This window comes from Homo sapiens, chromosome 15 (genome assembly GCF_000001405.40).
Source record: "Homo sapiens chromosome 15, GRCh38.p14 Primary Assembly".
In the NCBI taxonomy this organism is placed as follows: Eukaryota; Metazoa; Chordata; class Mammalia; order Primates; family Hominidae; genus Homo; species Homo sapiens.
Window position 1 is genome coordinate 79,075,059 of NC_000015.10, and position 19,273 is coordinate 79,094,331.

Sequence of the window (19,273 nt, forward strand, 5' to 3'; positions counted from 1 at the left end):
CTGAGTATCCCTAGACCTGCGAGTCTCAACCATGGCTGGACACTGGAGTTTGACGTAGCATCCCCGGGTGATTCCAATGGGCAGCCAAGGTTGAGAACAACTCACTAGTCTAGACTTTTGCCTGGGGCTTCAGTAGGAAAAGAGGGATTGATCCACAAACTATACCTGCGACCTACCAGGCTCACAGGCAGGGATTCAGAAATCACATCTGGGGTTGTGCCAGGACTAGACTCACATGTGGGCCCTTGTCTTTGCTGGAGGAAATGTTCTGGAACCACACCTGTGGCCTCAGTTGACCTGGCGGTGCCTGAGCTCCAGCGCATACCTGGCCCCAGTATGCCCTTCCTGTCCAGTATGTCCTTCCTGGCCCCAGTATGCCTCTCCTGTCCAACTGGGCTGCAAAATGGCCCCTGCTACCCCAGGTCAGTCTGGAGCTGGATCTACTTCCCCTCTGGAAGCTGGGGCTGGGGGCTTGAAGCCCCACCTACTTAGACTCTCTTTTGCCTCCTGCCTCTCCCAACTGACCAGCAGCCCCTACAGCCTCTCCACTGAACACAGAACATTGGACAACCACTGACAGTGGGGTGACCAACTGTCCTGGGTTTGCCTGAGACTAATGAGTTTCCTGGGGGTGTGGCACTTTCAGTACTAAAGCCAAGACAGTCCTGAGCAAACTGGGATGTTTGGTTCCCCTACAGACAGAGGAGCAGGTGGAACCCTCCATAGCTGAGTCTGGGTCTGGCAGTGAAGCTCAGAGCTGGGCACTCTGGGCAGCCTTGTCATCTCTCTGAGCCCTGGTTCCTTTCTGACAAACAGGCCCAACAACACTTGCCTTGGTCTATTCTATACACGTGGTATTAGAGTGAAGATTTCCCACACCTTTTACTCTCCAAGTCATTTCTCGTTCATTAATTCAACCAGTATTTAGCCCCCACTAGAAGCCAGACATAGTTCACTTTGCAGCCATCAATGACAACATGCATGTCAGCTGTATATGTGCTTTTGGAAAGGTATGGTGGTTCTTCCAAATGGGCAAGCTGCTGGGGGCTCCCAGATAGCGCCCCATCCTGTGCCATCAAGGCCATTCTCAACTCATATCATAATGATGTTCTGATTATCTTTCCAGCTACAGCCCATAGTCTCAATCCAGGCTACACATTAGCGATGTCTGGGAACTTAAAGAAGCCCTGTCGCTCAAGTCCCTTCTCAGATCCATTAAAACAGAGTGGTGGGTGGGGAGGGGAGGGGAGGGGAGGTTGCAGGCACTGGTCTTTTTGAAAGCCCCCCAGCTGGTTATAATCACCCAGAGTTTGGAACCCCTGAGGGAGGAGCAACGTGGTTGTTGTCATACTAGAAACCCAGGACTTCTCCCCTGCTCCTCATGCCCTCTCAGAGGCCCATGGTCCTGGATGCAGCTGACTGGAGCAGCAGTGGACATGCACCAGGGTTCACCCATCTGAGGCTCCTGGGAATGTGGCATAGTGGCACAGAGAGACCAGGCTGATGAGCTGCATGTGCTGAGCTCTAAGTGCAAGTAAGAAGCCAAGAAGGAAGCAGAAGGGTCTCAGAGAAAGTGGCAAGAGGTGGTGATGGAATCAAGTGGTGGGGGCAAGGCTAGGCGGAGGTGTTCAGGCCATGGAGACCCAGACGTGTATTTTCTCCCTGGGTTCCATTAACTACCGCTGTGTTTCTTCCAGGATAGTCCTCTCTTGCTCAAGCTGCTTTGAGCAAAAGGCTCCTGCTCCTTTCAAAGAAATGATTCCTGACCAAGAACTCTCCCTGGAGCCTGGCACCGTGCCTTGGCCAGAGCACAGGGTAGCCCTGGTTGACTGAATGGGTGACTGAATGCGTTTGTCACCACTGCCCAGGAGCCCAGCTTATTAATTGGCTAATAGCAAAAGCCACAAAGAGGGTGGTATTGAATATACCCCTCAGGCATGGGCAATGGAGCTGGCTGGAAGGGGTTGGGGGGACTGGTTTTTCATGAAAGCCATCCGTGCCTCTTCAGGGATAGCTGACAGGGCACAGGGCAGTCCTTCCATAAGGAGCCTTTTCTGGAACACCCATGGAATCTTGTTTTCATTTTTTGGGAAGATCTATTAATATTCCATAAAACCAGTGTTCCAGGGAGTCCATTTTGGGGCCCTGGGGTTGTGGGGTCTACCAGGGTTTGGAGTCATCAGACCTGGGTTCAAATTTATTATTTATTATTTGGCCTTGGGGTCTTCAACACACCTCTTCACTTCTGTGGACAGTTTCCTCTTTCACAAAATGGGGACAATATTACTCACCTCATGGGGTTGTTTAGGACAGCATTGTGGGAGCTCCTCGTTCATGAAAAGGCTCAAATAGTGTTTTGTAAACCACTGGATTCATTTACAAGGTCAAATGATGGGTCTAATCAACCTAGCAGTGGCACATTACTGGAAAACACACATGCATGAGCATTCATATGCCTGCACACATACACACAACGTAGGATCCAGCCACTGTCCTGAGGGCGTGGTGGGGAGGGGCTCATAACCAGAACGGTCACAGCCATGCAAGATCAGTGGGTTACAGGGAGATGGCGTTTGTGGCATCTTGCACATTATCTTCAGTTCCTGCTTCTCTCCTCTTCCCGCTGTGTAACTGGCTGCCAGTTGTATCCGTTTTTCCTCTCTAGTATTTCTGGAATCTGTGCCTTCCCCCATCCTCACTGCCATGCCTGCTTCAGGGATTCTTCATTACCCACCTGGACCATCAAACAGTCCCCTCTGATCTCCTTGCCCCCTCCAATTCATCCCGCCTTTTGGGAGTTCAGACCTGCTGCCTGGGCCTCTGCTCATTGCCTCCTCTGAGAGAAGGGGTGGGTGGGGTGGGCTCGGGGATAGATGCTACCACTCTTGGCTGATCCCACCCCTTACCAGGTCCCACTCTGCTGCTCTGGTTAGGGCCAGCTCTCCCCAGCTGGGTCCTGGCTCCTCCTCCCCGCCATCATTGACCTTTGGGGCTGAGGGCCCACAGGTGCTGTGCTTCTGCCACATGCTGCGTGATATCCCAGTGCAGGGAGTGGCTGTGCTACAGAGAACCTGGTGTGTGTGTGTGTGTGTGTGCATGCATGTGCGTATGTGTGCACTTGCCCTGGCCCAGGGTCCATCTTCTCTCCTTCCTTCCATCTATATGGGGACACCCATATAGGCCCCCCCGGCCCCACCCAGATCCTCCAGCTCCCTTTTCCATCTCCTTCCCAGGGGAAGTCACTGTCCCATGACCCTTGCAGGCCACCCCAAGAGCATCTTCCAACCTCTCTCACAGCTGCTGCAATGCAGTGCATGCTCACCAACGCTGGTTCCTTCCAGCCCTGGCTGCACGTGCTCATGCCGTGGTGTACAGTGGGGGATTCACTAAGCACATTATTCCCAAGTCAGGGAATACTTCCTGCACTTGTGGGGCCAGCAGAGGCTAATACTTCCATTGAGCAGGAAGGCAGTCCACGGAGCAGGAAGTATCAGCTTCTCCCATGCCCCACTAGATCCCCCACACCAATCCAGAAAGAACTCATCCACCCTGACTACTCATACCCCCTACCTCTCCTGATGTGGCTTCATGCAGGGTCAGGACCCCACTTTGTGACCTCCTTCCTAGCTCCAATTGGCTTCTTTCTGCCCAACTCTGCCTCTGAGTTCTCAAGTCTGAGTCTTCCTGGGCCGTGGTGGCCGCACCAGAACCTCTGCTTTGTCCCTGTTCTCAGTGCCTGTCTCAGGTCTCTGTCCAGATTCCCAGTCTTTAAGGCCTAAGACATACGTCACTCTGGGCCCCAAACCAGCCCAGGAAGAGGCCTGCGGCCAGAGACTGACCTCCTGGGTGCCATGCTATGTGCTCACTCATCCTCCCTGCCTGGCCTCGCTGGGAGTTGAGAGGAAGTAGGTGGGAGGAGATTCAGGAAGTGACTGCAACCTCAGGGCTTAGAAGCCCTTGAAAGCCCCCCTCTTTCAGAATCAGCCTCGAACGAGGCTGTGCTTGACCCAAGGCCTGGGGGCCCATGTCAGTGTAGGCCTCCAAGCTTCTGTCTGCGGAAGGGTCTCTGTTTTAATGTAAACTACTCCAGGGCCTGGGCGCCATGGCTACAGATGAAACGGGTCCTGGTGGCTGTTACACTTGGCTGGTCCTGCACAAACATCTTTCGATCTGTGATGACGCCTCAGCCAGCCTGCCCTCCCCTTTTCAACAGCCCCTTTTCTCATACTTGCTGAATGAAGGTACAAACTTCAGTATGGATATATCTGCCCTTCAGCTTCTGTCAAAAACTTGGTTGGAAATGGCCCATGTGCAGGGATATTTACTTATTAACTGCGGCTCCATTTGTAATAGCAAAATACTTTAAATTACCTAAATATCCCTCAAGAAGAGACTGGCCAAAAAAAAAAAAAAATGATAGCATGTCCACACCATGGAATACTATAGAGCCACAAAAAAGAATGGTGATCAATGTACTTGCAGAGAATCCTCTCCACAAAATAGTGAGAAAAACATGGTGCAGACTGTGTTACCATTTATATAATTATACATGCATGCATATAGACAGACAGATGTTTGCATGTACATGTATATATATATAATCCCTCTGGGAGAATGGATAAGAAACTGGTATAATGGCCACTAGGGAAGTGAACAGAGTCATTGAAGGAGCATTGTCACTGTATACTTTTTTTGTCTCTTGAATGTTGAGCTATGGACATGCATTACCAATCCTAAAATTTAAAATAAAAGAAAGCAATGGCTATTTAAGAGGGTCCAATTGACCTTCCATTCCCCAGGCTTCTCCAAGCTGCACCCTGTGTTATCTGGACACCAGGACACACCTCCCTGGGACCCCACCATTTAAGCCTCCTGGAATGTGGTCTTCACTGAGCATGCTCAGCCTCCCCTAAGAGCCAGCAGATGCGACTCATGGGGGCATGCCCTATACTGGCGGTGCCTCTGCCCTCGAGGTCATCATCATTTCCCTGCTGGTCCCCTGTATGTAAGCTTCTGGGACACAGGTACTCTTGCCTGAGCAACTGGACTTTGTCTTTCCATGAGGCAATGACTATCTCATAACTAGCCTGTTTCCCTCCTTGCTCAGGCTACCAGGAAACTCTAAGATGTAATTACTTGCTTCTCCTCACTGGTGCCCACCTGATATTGGCTTTCCTCCTGAAACACCAGCCCTTCCCTCCAACTCCAATTCCTTGCTGCCTGCAGATGTGACCAGAGATGAAGGGAGCTGGGGTGGCCACTAGTGCAGTGAGGGGGCAGGAAGGCCCATTGAGGGAGGAAAGGGGGTGGGAGGGCAGCAGCAGGCTTAGGGCACAGGGAAACTGGGCAGGCTGAGAACACTACATGTGAACAGGTTCTTCCAAATGATTTCACTAATTTCTTGAGTTTGGCTAAGAGCCCAAGAGGTATCTAAACAAAGTTGATTATATTTCACTCATATAGTCTCACAGGAAAAGTTCATCTTGATCACGTTTCTCTAAATTTCTACATGGAGTTTTGGAATACCAGCTAAGGTTACCAAAAATTCATTCATTCTTCTAAAACTGATTTTGAAAGGACTTTATTTTAAGATCTGAGTTGGATTTTCCAGTTTGAAAAAAAAAAGAAAGCTCAACTAGGAAGTATCTTTTGGAAAATAATTATCTCATGTTTCAGGGGAAAGAAATTGCATTAGCCCTGATGGATTAGTAAAATCTAGTCTTTAGAGTATAAATGACCTCATTTAACAACCAGCCTCAATGTCCACTAGACCTAGAACCTGGAGGCCTGGTGCAGATTCTGATTCTGACATTTAGCAGCGAGAGCTCAGGGCCTGGCACAAAATAGACACTCAATTGGTATTTGTGGAGAGAATGAACTCTGTCTATGCAAGCCTCGTCTGTCAAATGAGGATCGTGCCTCTCTTATGTAGAACCACAGTAACTGCAGGGTCACTGTGGTGGTTAAATGAAATGCTAATCGTGAAAAAGACTTTGTAATCTGAAAAGGTGCTTTATCTGAGTGGGTGGCTGACTTGGAAGGTGTGGAGACAACACTTGAAGCTTTCACGGGATGAGAATTTGACATTCCCACTGCCGCCCCAAACCCAGGATGTGGGAAGCCCCAGAGGGCATGGGGCAGAGGGCATGGGGCTGCAGAGTCTCAGAATCTTGAGCTCTGGGTGTTATTAATGGCCCACCACTAAAGCACAGGCTTCAGTGGCTGAGTCACGGCTGGGATGGGAGTGGAGGGGAGACCTTTAGTGCTCATGGTACTCCCCAAATTCAGGCCTTTGCTACTGCTCAGTTCTGCAGCCTCCTCTTAATTGGCTTCCTGCCTCCAGATGGGTTTTCTCCTGTTCATTCACACTCTGGTGATCTTCCTAACACACAGATCGGAGCAGCCCCTTTCCCACTCAGAGCCCTGCACTGGCTCTGCACTGGGCCTGGGAAGGCCTGAGCTTTGTGACATAGCACACAGGCTTTTAGGGCAGCTTTGGTGTCCCCTGCAACCTATATGCCCCTAATCACCCCCCACACCCCAGGGCTGGGGGAAGTGCCCTTACTGGACTCCCATAGTTCTCACCCCTCTTTGGCTCTCCTGTGTGCCAGCAGGGATCACACTGCATTGTCACTGTCTGTTCACAGGCTGTCCCCTCGCTGTATGGCAAGCCCCTCCAGGGAGGGCCCCTGCTGTTTGTCCCATCCTCCCAGTGCCAGGGAGGCATAGGCCTGGCCCCTCAGAGGTACTGGTAAATCTCTGTTGAGTGAAGGCTGTCAATGGAGTGTTAACATCTCAGGAGGACACTTTAGCCTTTAAAATCCTCTCCCTTGTTAATTCCAGGGAAGCCTAGTGGCCAAAATGCTTCTGTGACATTTGGTCAAGAATGACAGAGTCACCGAGCTTAATGAAAGGAGGGGAGGCCAGGCAAGGATCCTGCCCCTGTAAGCTCTGAGCTTACACTCACACCACATACTATCCGTGTCCTCATGAAACCACCATAAAACCTCTCTTCAGCTACTGTGTGTGTGCCCGATGATCAGATTTGCATTTTAGAAAGATTTTTCTGGCTGCAGAGAGGCCAGTGGACTGGGGGTGGGGGCACAGTGCATGTGTGGGGACAGTGGCTACCATTAGCACCATATTCTCCTCTCAGCCTTTCTGGCGCTCTGTGTCCAGGCACACAGTAAGTCTGTACTTCTGCACCTCTTCTGAAATAAAGCCAGGTGGCTCACCCTGTCTAGTGAACTGTGCTCAGAGTGGGTCCCTTCTGGGAAAAGCCAATGAGACATCTGTCACACTCCTTCCCCTCAGTGGAGGGGACCATGGAGGCTGGTGTCAGGACCAAGCCTCTACCAGCCCAGGTCCCTGAGTGATCATCATGAGCAGTGGCCTCCTGCCAGCTGCATGGGACATAAAGCACAAGCAAGAGATGAGTCTTAGTTGTGCTGATGGAGATCTGGGGGTTGGTTGTTATTGCAGCACAACCCAACCTACCCTGACCGACACACCAGTTAGGAGGCCACTGCGTAAGATGAGTCCAGGTGAGAGGTGATGCCAACCTGGACCACAGTGGTGGAGGAAGAGAGGGACAGAGGGCACAGCTCTGAGAGATATACCCAGGAGGAAAAACTAACAGGGCTTCGTGATGATTTGTCCACAGGGATGAAGAAAGCTCCTGCAGCAATCATCTGTCCTTTGGTAAGGGCTTGCTTGCTTGGACCTTTTCAGGAACTCACAGGTTCTTTGAGCTAAGATTTCCATCCTATTTTCATATGCAGGGTCAGGGCTCAGTGTTGGCTTGCTTCCAGCCTGCGAGAGACCCCAGGGACCTGGGTCACTGCTATAGTGAGGAACAGTCTTGTCATAAAGGTGGAAGCCAAAGCCCCAGCTGCTGCAATTTACTGATAACACCTATTGCGCTGTGCTAGGGCTTTCCAAACAGCGTGTAGTTTAACACAGAGATGGGGAAACTGAGACTCAGAGAACTTAAAAGCCTTCCCAAGCTAGGAGGTGGCAGAGCCGAGACTTAGAGCCAGGATCTAATGCCGGGTCGCCATGGCTGCGAATTCTCAATGCTGCCTCACTATCAGGGACAAAATAACTCCTCAGTGAAGGAGGCTGGAGGCTGGAAATGAAGGCTGCATGTGAGGGGCTGTACTCTCCTCTCTGAGTCGGGGACAGAGAGTGGGGGTGTCCACACCTCCCAGCTGCTCCCTGCACGACAGTCGCCCTCACGGAAGTGTTTGGGCGTTGGCAGTGTTCTGGACCTCTCTCAAGTCCACGCGTCACTAGTGCTCCTGCATAAACATCAGGGGGCTGAGTTCTGTTCTTGGCTGCACGCACACGGGCACCGGCTCCATGCTCCCACAGATTCCAGGGAAACCGGATTGTGGGGTGTGGATGCCTGCCTTGGTGCGCTTCCCATCAATGCTCAGGGGATTCAGAGTTGCGAGGTTCCCACCCAAGCAGAAACAAAAGCCGCCTTCACAAAAATCACTGGCGCGACTGTGACATATTTTCACCTGCTATTAATTCTCTTTCTTTCTCCATGTATTTTGGCAATAGACAGCAAGGAATAACAGTCCCCAGCCAGTCTTTATGATGTGTTTGTGGATGAAGAGCTCAGGTTTTAGAATCAGGAAGACCTCCTGGGTTCATGGCCCAGCTTCTGCATGTACTTGCTCTGTAACTTTGAACAACTTAACATCTCTGAGCCTCAGTTTTGTCATCTAGAAAATGGGCAATTAGTGATAACCTCACAGGGCTGTTGGAATAATTAAGGGAAGAGCTGTAGGTAAAACATGTACTCTGGTGCCTGGCACACAGCAGGTGCTCAATAAATGGTATTTATTGTCATTCAACATTTTTGATCTGGCGTTTTGAAACATCCTGCTACAAAATTATATACATTTAAATCTGCATTCATAGCATGGCAGAGTTGAAGGGCATTTAGTAATAACTCATGGTGAAGGTCAAGCTTTTTAAAGCACTAGGAAAGATAAAATCTCATGTGGAAACCTAACATATAAAACAGTTAAAAATGGGACTGCTCTGATTGATGTGGGAGTGTGGCCCCCAGGGCTCCTCAGAATGAGGCAGAAAATCATCGATGAAGGGAAGTTAAGGATTTGTCTATAGTGACCCAGTGGGAGAGAAGGTTCAAATCCTACTTCTCCTGTGCAGGTTTGGCAAATACTATGAAGGAGGAGTGATGGCACCTGCCTGGCAGTCTTGAAAACTGAAATCCTAGTGTAGACGAGCCGCCAAATTCAACTTCCCAGTGCTGGCTCGTTGCTCTTGAAGAAGTGCAAGCAAAGGCTGACCAGCCAGGCCAGGCTGTGAAAGCGTTGAGTGCAGGCAGACCCCAAAGTGACCTCATGAGGCTCTGCCCAGCTGGCACTATTCTCAGCCAGCCTGCACGTCCCCTGCGGTGCACCTGGCAGCCACATCACTTCATTCCCTGGGCTCTGGACAACAGGGCCGCCACCTGCTGAGCTTCTGCACATGCCGTTTTGTTCGGTCCACCCCTCTCAGCACACACCACCCACTGTCCTCCTCGTGGGGCTCCGCTGGTTTCTGTAATAAGTGTCCTTACCATACTAGAGGGTGGGGGCATTAAAGCCCTTTTCTGCCCTTGGGCTTCTCAAATGTGACCTCCCTGAGATTAAATGTGATGAGATCACTGCCACTCATCCTCTTCCACTGCCCATAAACCTGCTTGTCTTCAGCTCTCCCCTCTCTACTGGTGACATGCATCTGCCTGGTGGCCTCAGGCAGAACCATGGACTTCAGGTTTGATCCTGTCTTCTTTTCTGTTACAACCAATGGGATGGCAGGTCTTGCCAATTTTCCACGTGAGTGTCTCTTGGTGAAGTTTTTTTTAATCGTAAAGACCCCGTTCCTTCATCCTCTCAGGGCTTCCACCTCTCTCACCTGGACTCTGGGTTCCAGCAGCCCCTGATTAGTCTCCTGCCTCTGCCTGCCTCCTGCTCTCCTGGTGCTTACATTCCAGTGGGGAGAAGGATGGTTTGCAACTGGCCAAATACATGAGGTAATCACAGACTGTGATCAGCTGTATGAATGAAGAGTCCAGTGCTGTAAATGCACGTGATGACAGAGGTGACGTTTAGGCTAAGACCTGCAGGAGAAGAAGGAGCTGTTCATTCTAAGGGCATGGTTGGTGGGAGATCATTTCAGGTGGAGGGAATGGCTTCTGCCACAGCCTTGAGATAGGAAAGGGGAGGCACATGCAGCTCTGAAAAGTGGTGGCCTAAGCAGGATGAGGAAGGAGGAGAGTGGGATGGGTGGCTCTGGGTTAGAGGGGCCAGCAAAGGGTGGATCTTACTGGGTACTCCAGGTCATGGTTGGGAGTTTGAATATCTTTCTAAAGGCAATGGGAGCCACTGATGCTTTCACAACATCCCAGGGTTCTGTGTCTAAGGGCTGCTGCTTTTAGAGCAACCTTATTTTTCTACATTCAGCTTTTCATTTTTCTGATTGGCTGAGAGGTTGAATGTGCTATAACTCCAAGGAGTATGTGCTTTATGGTGACAACAGAATAGCTACAATAAGTCTCAGGCAGGGTTCCATGAGCTCCTGAACAAGGCAAGGCAGGGAGAAAGAGTCCCAGGCTCTTCAGGAGGGAAGAATTGCCATCACTTGGTGATTACTGTGGGAGTGAGTTTTGAGGAGAGAGGCGAGCTCCCTACTCAACTGTGAGTGTTTTGAAGACAAAGATTAAGTTTTCTTCTTCTCTGTGTCTGAAGGACCTACCACAGGCCTGACACCAAGGGCCAAAATGTTTGCTGCGTGAATAAACAATGTGGAATTTTAGTTCAGGCTTGTGGATGTACGATTTGTTTCTGATCCTCACCACACTGTCACCAAGCATAGGCGCAAGGAGCCGATATTCCCTTGTCCCACTCCAGGCATAATTACTGTGCCTCTTCAACTTCATTCCAACTCTAGGAACATTTGGGGGATGGGGTGGGTGATGAGTAGCCCACACAGTTGATCCTGGGGCCCCACACCTGCTAGGATTGGGCATGGTCTGGAACGGGTTGGGTAGTCTTGCTGGTTTCCTATAGGTGCAAGCATCTTACATTCTGCGTTGTTGGCACCATATGTATACCAGCGTCCCAGGGTTCTGTGTCTAAGGGCTGCTGCTTTTAGAGCAACCTTATTTTTCTACATTCAGCTTTTCATTTTTCTGATTGGCTGAGAGGTTGAATGTGTTATAACTCCAAGGAGGGTGTGCTTTGTGGTGACAACAGAATAGCTACAGAGTGAGAAAGCCAGAGAACGCATCTCATTTCTGCCATTGCCTTGCTGGGCAGCCACAGATGAAATTGTTTCCTCATCTGTAAAATGAGTGTACTCATTAACCTCGGGGCTGTTGTTGATCTGAATCTGCCAGGCCAACCAGTAATGTGTCCTGTGCATGAGGACTCAGGAGTGGGGCTTTGTCTTGTCTCTAGAGAAGGGAACTAAGTGGGTAGACAACAGGTTCTAAGACCCCCCCCCCCCAGCTTCTGGGACCTCCAACAACATCAGGTTCTGAGGTTCTGGCTGCCAGGATTTGTCTGAGTCTCTTCTGTCCTAAGAGAATCAGGAAGAGCCTGGTGCCCACATTTTGACCCTTCCTGGTTGGGAAGAGTGAAAGGAGTGCTGGAGTTGGTTTGGCTGGGTACCCTACTGAGAAGCTGGGGCTGGACATTTTATTTCAGGGAGCTTGGAATGAGAGTGGGAAAAGTCGGGGTTGGGGGACTCCATGCCAAAGAAGGGTATGGAACACCAAGGGCCAGCCTCTAGGGAAGATGAACCCAAGCTCTAAGTCAACAGCACTTGGGCTTTCAGTGTGTGGGCTACAGGGCTGGGAGCAGAAGAGGTCAGGACTGAGCAAAGGGCCCAGGCCAGGGAGGTGGCTTGCAGCTGCCAGATGGAATAGGGGGCATGGCTGTGCCAGTCTGACTTCATGAGGCCTTAGGATCCTAGGCTAGAGCTCCCTGGACACTGAGGCTGCAGCAGAGGCAGTCAGACTGGTCTGGATACAGCCAGATGAGACTGCACAATGTTAGGATGGGCTTGGTGTTTGGTGCCAGAGCGCCTTGCATATCCCGCTATTAGAGCATCTTCACGGGGTGAGGAGCTCACCCTTATCTATGTCTGTCTTCCTCAGGGGCTCACAGCCTGTGACAGTCAGCTTCTAGGTTGAGGACATAAAATATGGAATTAACATATGATAGGCTAACAAGTCCAGCTTAGTGTGCATTTCCTGTGCATCTACTATGTGCACGGTCCCTGATTCTGCCCCAGCCACTTAGGGGTTCCCAGCCAAGAGTTGGTTTCTATTCCTTCAAAAACCATCCCTGGCCCTTCAGGGAGGAAGCTGTCTGCTTGGACATTGGTAAAATGGCTTCCTGCTGAAACCAATTCTTCATCAGACACCAGCTAGTCTAGTTAAACAGATGGCTTCGTAGACGCCTCTCAACTCAGGCACTCTGTACATGCCCAGCAGATTGAGCCAAAGCTTCTCGTAGGCTCAAGCCTGGTCACAGAATGGCCTGGAGTTAGACCTATCATGCTAGGCTCTGTGGCTTATGCCATGGGGCACCCAAGTCAAAGAGAAACATGGAGCAGCTGCTGGCACCATCGATTTTACTCAAAGATTGAGAAAAGAAACAGCGATGAATTTTTGTACACATGTGTAGCCGGAAGGAGCAGGATCTAGTTTTCCACAGGAGTCAAAGTTGGTCTAGAGGCAAATGGAACCTATATAAACATATGTGATTTAAGTATGAGTCTTTAACAGAAATTTGCGCCAGACCATCATCTGCTACTTTTAACCCGGTTCTGTTCTCTTGTGCCAGGAGGGCTGCTCTCGTGAACAAACCTGAGGATCTCTGACTAGTAGTGTTCTGGGGAAACAGCTCTGAACATGAGTGCATCTCATCAATTAGTTTTGCACTGATGTTCCTCCCATGATCTACTGCTAGGATGATTCAATACCTGGGCCAAGAGTTGGATGATTTGAAATCAATGTAGGGTCTCATTTTCAGGAATTCTTAGGCATTGGATGAATTCTAGGTCTGATTCTGCCACTGATTTACCCCGTTGTTGGGTAACTCCCTTTCTTTGCCTCTCAGTTTCTTGGTCTGTAAAATGGGAAGGCTGTATCTCTGAGGTTCTGTTCGACTTTAACATCTGGTGACCTAAATAGCTCTGTCCAGGTGGGTATAATTCAGATTCAACTGTGATTCGTCTAGATCTAACTAAAATGTATTGGGCGCTTACTTTCATATACATTATTTAATGTAGGGCTCTCAAAACCCCAGAAAGGTAGGTGTTATTATCTTCATTTTGTAGATTACAAAATGGAAACTCAGAGAAGTTCAGCAAGTTAACTGAAGTCACACAGCCAGGAAGTCATACAGCTGAGATTCAGTCTCAGGCCTGTCTGCCTTCACGTCCAGGGGGCTGAGAACAGATAATATGAGCCCATGCCAACTTGGCTTCCCCCACCCCTCACTTCCTGCCTACCCAGGAGCTCAGCTCTGTGATCTAGTGTAGTGGGTTGAGGGATGGAGGGGGGATCTGGCTGGGGCTGGGGCTTGGGCTGCAGGCCCCGGGTAGGTATGGGTATATGGGTAGACACTGGCTGGAGAGGGGCAAGTTCTGAAGGGCTGAGAGCAAATTCTCTAGTCTGGCCTGGGACTGGCTCTTCCACATGAGTTCCCCAGGCTCCATTTGAGCTGAAGCTTAAGGAGCTGCCTGCTCTTTGCTCTTCTTTCCATCTGGGAGCCCCTGCTCACCACATGGCTTGTCATCCCCAGGGACCCACCCTCAAAAATTCCTGTCCACACTTCCCAGTCCTCAGAAACTATCTCCTAACACCCATTGGCTGAAGGTAGGGAAGGAAGAGATGTGCTAGAGAGACTGAGCTCGGATCTCTGTCCTGACAATTGGGAGGAAGACTTCAAGCGATGCTTTTATTTCAACCAATTCAATCACCACCAGTCTGTGTCTTCATGCAGCAGTGGCTTTTGAGATCTCGGTTGTCTTTTCAGAACATTGGGACGGCCTCAACAACTTGCATGACGCTGGGCAAGTGAATTTCTCTCTCTGGGCCTCAGTGTCCCCATCTAGGCAATCACCAGCCGTTAGGCCCTATGGATGGAAGGTTCCTGCCTGCAGTGGCATTTTAGGATCCACTATCATCTGCTTTATCTTCCTAGTGGCAAGGGACTGGACCAGATGCTTTTGGAAAGCGCACCAAGCTTAAAGGTGGCTCTCTCTGCAGGTGCCCCTCCTCCCTTCACGCCAGAGGCTCACCCCCACCCCGCCCGGGCTCCCTGTTAGAGCCAGGCCTGGCTCTTCAGCCTTGCAGCTCAGGAAACCAGAGCGCAGCGCTATAGCCGCGACTGCGGCGGCGGCGGCGGCGCAGGGGGCGGGGGAGGAGAGAAGCGCCCACTTCGTCCCGCTGCCTCCGCAGCAGCCCTGGCCCTAGCCCCGGCGCATCAGAGCGGTCCTTGGGAATCTTTGGGCTTGTTGCTCCGGCGGCCGCCAGCTGGGAGCCCACCACCGCTCGATGGTACCGAACCGACCCGTGTAGCCCCATAACCCCAGCCCAACTCCGAGGAGCTAGCGCAGACCGCTCTCCGCCCTCAGCTGCGGCGAGGCAAGGGCTGGCAGCGCTCGGACGCCTCCGTCTTGCCCTTCCCATGCCTAAGCGCGGGGAATTACACGTTCCCGGTGTAGAACAGACGATCGGGGCTATTAGGGCTGGGCGGTGGGAGTGGGGGTTGGGAGCACCATTTTTGGCTGGACGTGTGTCCAGACTCATCGTCTCTGGTCCTTAGGACCCCATCTTCCTCTGCATCTCCAGGTGTCGGCCCCTCTGTACCCGCCTCCCACGGGGCTCGTCCGGCGAAGGGCAGCCGCAGCCCACATCTACTCCCCGCCCTCAATCCCTGCCCCCTCTGCCCGCCGCAGTCACTCGCCTGGCTGGGAGCAAGCCTCCCCTCTCGCTGAGGGTGCAGAGAGCGCCTAGGGCGCCAAGAGTAGAGGGGCCAAAGTTCAAGCGCCATCAGCCAGCCGAAGGCCCTGAGCCCCCAGGGCCGCGGCCGGGACGCAGGGAGGTCAGGACGCGACGCTCGCCTCACCTGTTTCTCCAGCGGCTCCTTGGCCGACAGCGCCGGCTTGGGGGAGGGCGCGCGGTCGCAGACGCAGCCCTCCAGCAGGTAAAGCCCCGAGGGCCGCGAGCTCGAGTCGCTCTCGAAGTAGAAGAGCAGGTTCTGCAGCAGCGCGAACCACTTGGTTTGCCATTTTGTGTTGTCCGAACTCCGCTTGCTCAGGTAGCCTTTGCGCGTGCCGTCCTTGCGCGCCAGCAGTCCCAGGGACGCGACGTGGCCATCATTCAGCCGGATCCCCTTCTGCATGGTGCTCAGAGGCCAGCGAGACCCCACGCGCTTACATCTTCTCCGCGCAGCAGCCCCCCGTCCGTGCGCGCTGCGCGCTGCCTCTCTCTGGCGCTCGCTCGCTCGCTCCCTCTAGCTCTCCCCTCCCCCCAAATATCTACACTCCAGGATCTGGCGCCGAGCCGCGGCTTCTTGAATCCAGATATACCATTCCCCGCTGGAACCTCTTCTCCGCTCCGCAGAGCCCCAGTACCCGGAAGATGCCGCCCGACCCTCCTCCGGTGCCGGGCAAACTGAGGGACTGGCGATCTGCGCGCTGGCGAGGGGCAGGCGGAGTCATGTGACGCCGATCCCTCGAAGAGCCCGTTTCAGCAGCGCGGACAGGGACACACGCACGCAGCCCCGCCGAGGCGCAGAGCCGCGCGCAGGCTGCAACTTGGTGCCTCCTCCCCCTCCCCAGACACACACACACGCACACGCACACGCACACACTCAAACCCTGCCCTCCCTCCCCTCATCTCCCCTTCTCTCCCTCGGATGTTAAAAAGCAAATCAGATCAATTTTCGTTTAACCCAATGAAACCCCGAAGGCTCGCCATCCCGGGAGTTTGCGTCTTTGCGCCCCACCGCGGCGCACTGTAGACCTGGGGTTAAGTGCCAGTTGTCATTTTCTCCTCCAAAGGCTCGCCCCCCCCCCCCACTTTATTTCTAATACGAGGTGGAAGGAGGAAGGTGGGTGGCGAAATAGAGCTGCAAAAGCGTCCAGTCCTAGTCTTTGCATAGTCAGCCGGGTCACATTGAATTCCAGCATCCGGCTGCACTCCCGGCGGCTTCCCCAGCTACCTGAGGACAGTACAGGGGGTGAGATGGGGTGGTGGTTGGTGAACGTTGGTTACTTTATTTTATATTATTTTATTTTGAGAGTTGCCATAATTACCGGCGCCACCCCCCGTGCACCCTGAGGTCTGGTTGGCGAGCCGCTGCTGGGAGTTTTCTGCAAATACCCCCCAAAGCCTGAAGGCGGGCTTCAAACGCAGGCGCCGGGGACCATGGGAGCCTTCAAATAGCTGCGCTGGCGCAATGATACCTTAATGATAGATTTTCCGTTCTTATTTTTAGCTCTCATTCGCCTACACAGTTACACGGCATTTATCCGAGAACGTCACAGCGCCCGCATGCTGCACCGGGAGGGCGCGCGGGCCGCCGGGCGAGCCGGGAGCTGGGGCGGGGAGCGCGCATCGCTGTCTGCCGCAGAGGGCAGCGAGCTCGCCCCGACCCGGAGCAAGCCGCGCCTGGCCCGGGCGCTTTGCAGCGGGGATGGGTGCCCGCGCAGCCCTGTGAAGGAAAGACACCATCTTTCCGCACGGAAACTGCGTATACCCCTCCCCCGACACACACACACACACACACACACACACACACACACACACACACCCCACACTCACACACAGCACACACCACACACGCACAGATACACACCACACACCACACACCCACACACCACACACACCACACACACACACCACACACACCACACACACACACCGCACACACCACACACAAACCATACACCACACACACCACACACGCACACACACACGCCACACACACCGCATACACAAACACCACACACCACACACACACACCATACACCACACACCAACACACCACACACACACCACACACCCAAACACCACACACACCAAACACACACCACACACCCTACACACACACCACTCCCCACACCCCCCCACACCCCACCACACACACGCCACACACACCACACACAGACACCACACACATGCCACACACCACACACACACCACACACACACCACACACCACACACACACCACACACATGCCACACACCACACACATACCACATGCCACATACACACCCCCCACACTCCCCCACACCCCCCGCCACACACACACACAACCCACACCATACAAACACCACACACTACACACAACACCCCCACACTCCCCACACCACACACCACACACCACACACACTACACACACCACACCCACATACCACACACACCCCTACACACCCCTACACACCACACACACCCACACCCACACATACACCACACACCAGACCACACACCACACATACCACACACACCATGCACACCACACCACACACACCACACCACACACACACCACATAACACACCCCTCCCACAGACCAAACCTGGGCTGCACACACACACGCATCACACCTCACACAACACATGCAGCACACCACACACACATACACACACACATACACACACACACCCTAGTTTGGAGCCCTAGGGAAGGGCTTGGAAACCAGGCAGCCCTGTGTAGGTCACGGAAGAATCCACAGAGAAGCTCTGCTGTGGAGGAATGGAGCTGCCCCTGTCCTGAGCACAGTGAGGCAGGCCTGTGTTCCTGGAGTGGGAGCATTTTGGGGGAGGAACTGGCCTTGTTAACCTTAGTCCTCCCTCTAGTGCCATCGTTCCAGTCCTAGGGACCCCAAGGACTCAGTGGTGCTGATTTTTCTTCACAAATAATGAAAATAGGCTAGATGGCTAAGCCTTTTCATTCAGTCTTAATTTTCCCTACACTATCACCATCTTTTCTTCTCATTTGCTCTCTTCATGGAAGCAGAGTTTGCAGGATTGAGGTTCTTAATCTGGCCTTTCTTTATCTAAACTCTTTTATTCGGAAGTCTGTTACAGAAGCCAAGAAAACTTCAGGGAAGGGGCACTGTTCTAAGTGCTTTAGATCAATTAAGCCATTGAATCGTCATGCAACCCAATGTAGTAAGTTTATTTTTTTCCCCAATGAGCTCCATTGTACAGACGGGGAAACTGATGCATGGGAGAGTTGAATGACTTGCTCAGGGCCGCTCAGCTAGGAAGCAGCGGAGGTTGGATTTGAACGGGGCAGTCTGTCCCAGAGGTCTTTGTAGAGCTAAGTGGGTGGTCCCTGGGTTGCAGGGAGGTTGGCTTTTATCCCAAGAGGGGGTACGATGGTCAAGAGAGGGTCTCCCAGGTAGGCTGGAGTCAAGGCTGAGCCTGCACAGAGGCTGCTGTGGCAGAGGGACTTATGGTACATAGGTTCTGAACCTGGGCTGCACATCAGAATCACCTGGGAGCACTTAACAAGCACTTCCCAGAGATCATGGGTGGGCTAGCTACACTTTCATGGGTAGTTGTAATGTGCAGTGAAGGTGGAGAACCGCTCATATACGGGAGAACTCATGATATGGTCACGTGCACATGAATCACCTGGGGATCTTGTGAAAATGCAGATTCTCTTTCAGTGGATCTGGGACAGGACCTGATAATCTGCATTTCTAACAAGTTCCCTGGTCATGAAAAGCTGCTGGTTTGCAGACCACACTTTGAAAGTTCTAGGGCACTCGAGAGGTGGGAGGCAATGGGATTCATTCATTCATTCACTCATTCACACACATTTCATTCCACTAGTGTTCATTTAGCCCTTCATCTGTGCCAGGCATGGGTGGGCCACTGGGGATACAGTGATAAACAAAATACAGTCCCTGTCTTACAAGGGATGCCCAAGCATGCCTTCTCTGTCTGACCCTTAGTGTAGCAGGAAGAAAACCATCTTCCCTTGGATCTGGGGGAAAGATTCCGATGAGAGGTGGCAGGCGGATTGCCTGAGCTCAGGAGTTCGAGATGAGCCTGGGCAACACGGTAAAACCCTGTCTCTACTAAAATACAAAAAAATTAGCCAGGTGTGGTGGCACACACCTGTAGTCCCAGCTACTCAGGAGGCTGAGGCAGGAGAGTTGCTTGAACCCGGAAGGCGGGGGTTGCAGTGAGCTGAGATCGCACCACTGCAGTCCAGCCTG

At 52.3% G+C, this 19,273-nt stretch overlaps 1 protein-coding gene across 7 annotated transcripts in view; it reads right to left on the reverse strand.

The window, feature by feature from the left end:
- Nucleotides 1-15,722, reverse strand: part of RASGRF1 (Ras protein specific guanine nucleotide releasing factor 1) — a 130,875-nt gene extending 115,153 nt beyond the window's left edge. For all 7 annotated transcript variants that reach the window (NM_001145648.3, XM_017022456.3, XM_017022455.3 and 4 more), the window contains exon 1: nt 15,165-15,722. In NM_001145648.3, the coding sequence (NP_001139120.1) occupies nt 15,165-15,440 (276 nt within the window). In that variant the 5' untranslated portion in view covers nt 15,441-15,722. The remainder of the gene's footprint in view (nt 1-15,164) is intronic.
- Between the last annotated feature and the right edge of the window lie 3,551 nt (nt 15,723-19,273).